This window comes from Homo sapiens, chromosome 3 (genome assembly GCF_000001405.40).
Source record: "Homo sapiens chromosome 3, GRCh38.p14 Primary Assembly".
NCBI classification, from domain to species: domain Eukaryota; kingdom Metazoa; phylum Chordata; class Mammalia; order Primates; family Hominidae; genus Homo; species Homo sapiens.
Genome location: NC_000003.12, coordinates 174,376,994 through 174,378,816, shown reverse-complemented (window position 1 = coordinate 174,378,816; position 1,823 = coordinate 174,376,994). Strand labels below are relative to the sequence as shown.

General features: G+C 45.5%; 1 pseudogene; it reads right to left on the bottom strand.

The window, feature by feature from the left end:
* Nucleotides 777–1,608, bottom strand: RPL8P4 (ribosomal protein L8 pseudogene 4; annotated as a pseudogene).

The window sequence follows — 1,823 nt, the reverse complement described above, 5'->3', positions numbered from 1 at the left end:
ATGGACTAATATATTGTGCTTAATAACAACCCAAGGAAATAGTTACAATAATTATCCCCATATTACAGATACAAACTCAGAAACAAAACAATTTGCCCAAGTCACTGCTACTAAGTGATGAGTTGGGATTCCAAAGAATGAATTATATATATATATATATAATATATGAAATATATATGAATATATATATAAATTTATATATGAAAAAAGAAAGATGTGAGAGTTGTACGTAAGATGATTACGTTTTTGTAAAATAAACAATGGTAAATTGATATATGTGCTTATGAGAAAGATAAATACCACTTCATGAATTGGTTACACAGTGAGGGAGGGAGATGTAATATTGGGAATGTATAGAGATAGAGTGGGGAACTAGAGGAAGAAGAGAGACAAGCAAAAACCCCACAAAAGACAGCACTTATAAAAATTCAAAGTAAAACAACATATACAATGTGATTGATTTTTAATATAAAATTATGTATATGTATGTATATATACACACACAACTACGTATGTGCGTGTAGATTTATATTGATAGAGAAATGCACGAACATATGGTTACTAAATGACTAATGTTTTTTATCTCAGGCTGGTGGGGTTTTAGGTGATATATAATCTCTTCTTTACACTTTTATGTACCACTCAACTCTTTTACAATAATCCTATATTTATGTAACAAAAAACTCATAATACATCTGTTTCGACTGTGGAAAAACATTTAAGAGAGTTGGGAATGAATATTATCTTTTATTTGTATTTATTTATTTATTTTTTGGTGGCAGAAGGACAAACTTTACTGAGCCCCTCATCACTAGTTCTCTTTCTCCTGCACAGTCTTGGCTCCCCGGAGACGTCCAGTCTGGCGGACAGCAATGAGACCCACTTTGCGGTCAGCGGGGGCATCTCTGCGGATGGTGGAGGGCTTGCCGATGTGCTGGTGGTTGCCACCTCCGAAAGGATGCTCCACAAGGTTCATGGCCACACCCCGTACTCGTGGCCAGCAGTTCCTCTTTGCCTTATATTTGTGGTGGGCCCGGCCAGCCTTCAAGATGGCTTTGTCATTTCGGCCACCTCTGGCCACTACACCACCCACAGCTCTGTTGGCTGAGGAAATAACCTTGTTGGCGCAGGAGGGCAGCTTCATGGGTCTTCTGAGTCTCAGGGTTGTGGGAGATAACGGTGGCACCGTTCCCTGATGCCCGGGCCAGCTTGCCACGGTCTTCAGGCTTCTCCTTCAAGCAGCACACGGTCGTACTCTCAGGCATGGTGTCCACAGAGAGAACACTGCCAATGTTGAGCTGGACCTTCTTGCCGCAATACACAAACTGACCCATGTGAATACCCTCAGCGGCAATGAACAGCTGCGTCCACTTCTTAAACCGGTGCATTCCGGAAGACCACCTTGGCGAGGGGCGCGCCGCAGCCCGGGTAGTGGATAGCGCCCTTCACGGTGCTCTTGTAGCCGCTGGGGGCAGTCCACAGCGCGCAGGCGCGCTGTGCCCTGACGGTGCTTCACCTGCGCGGGAAACGCAGCCCCGGCGCCCTTCCGCTGTCCACAGACCATGAGGCCCATGGCGACGGGTCCTGCTCACAAGCGCGGCCTAAAGACCGAATATGATATTTCGGTCTCACTGTAACCTCCACCTCCAGGGTTCAAGCAGTTCTCTGCCTCAGCCTCCTGAGTAGCTGGGATTACAAGCGCCCGCCACCACGCCTGGCTAATTTTTTTGTATTTTTAGTAGAGACGGGGTTTTACCATCTTGGCCAGGCTGGTCTTGAACTCCTGACATTGTGATCCGGCCGCCTCGGCCTCCCAAAGTGCT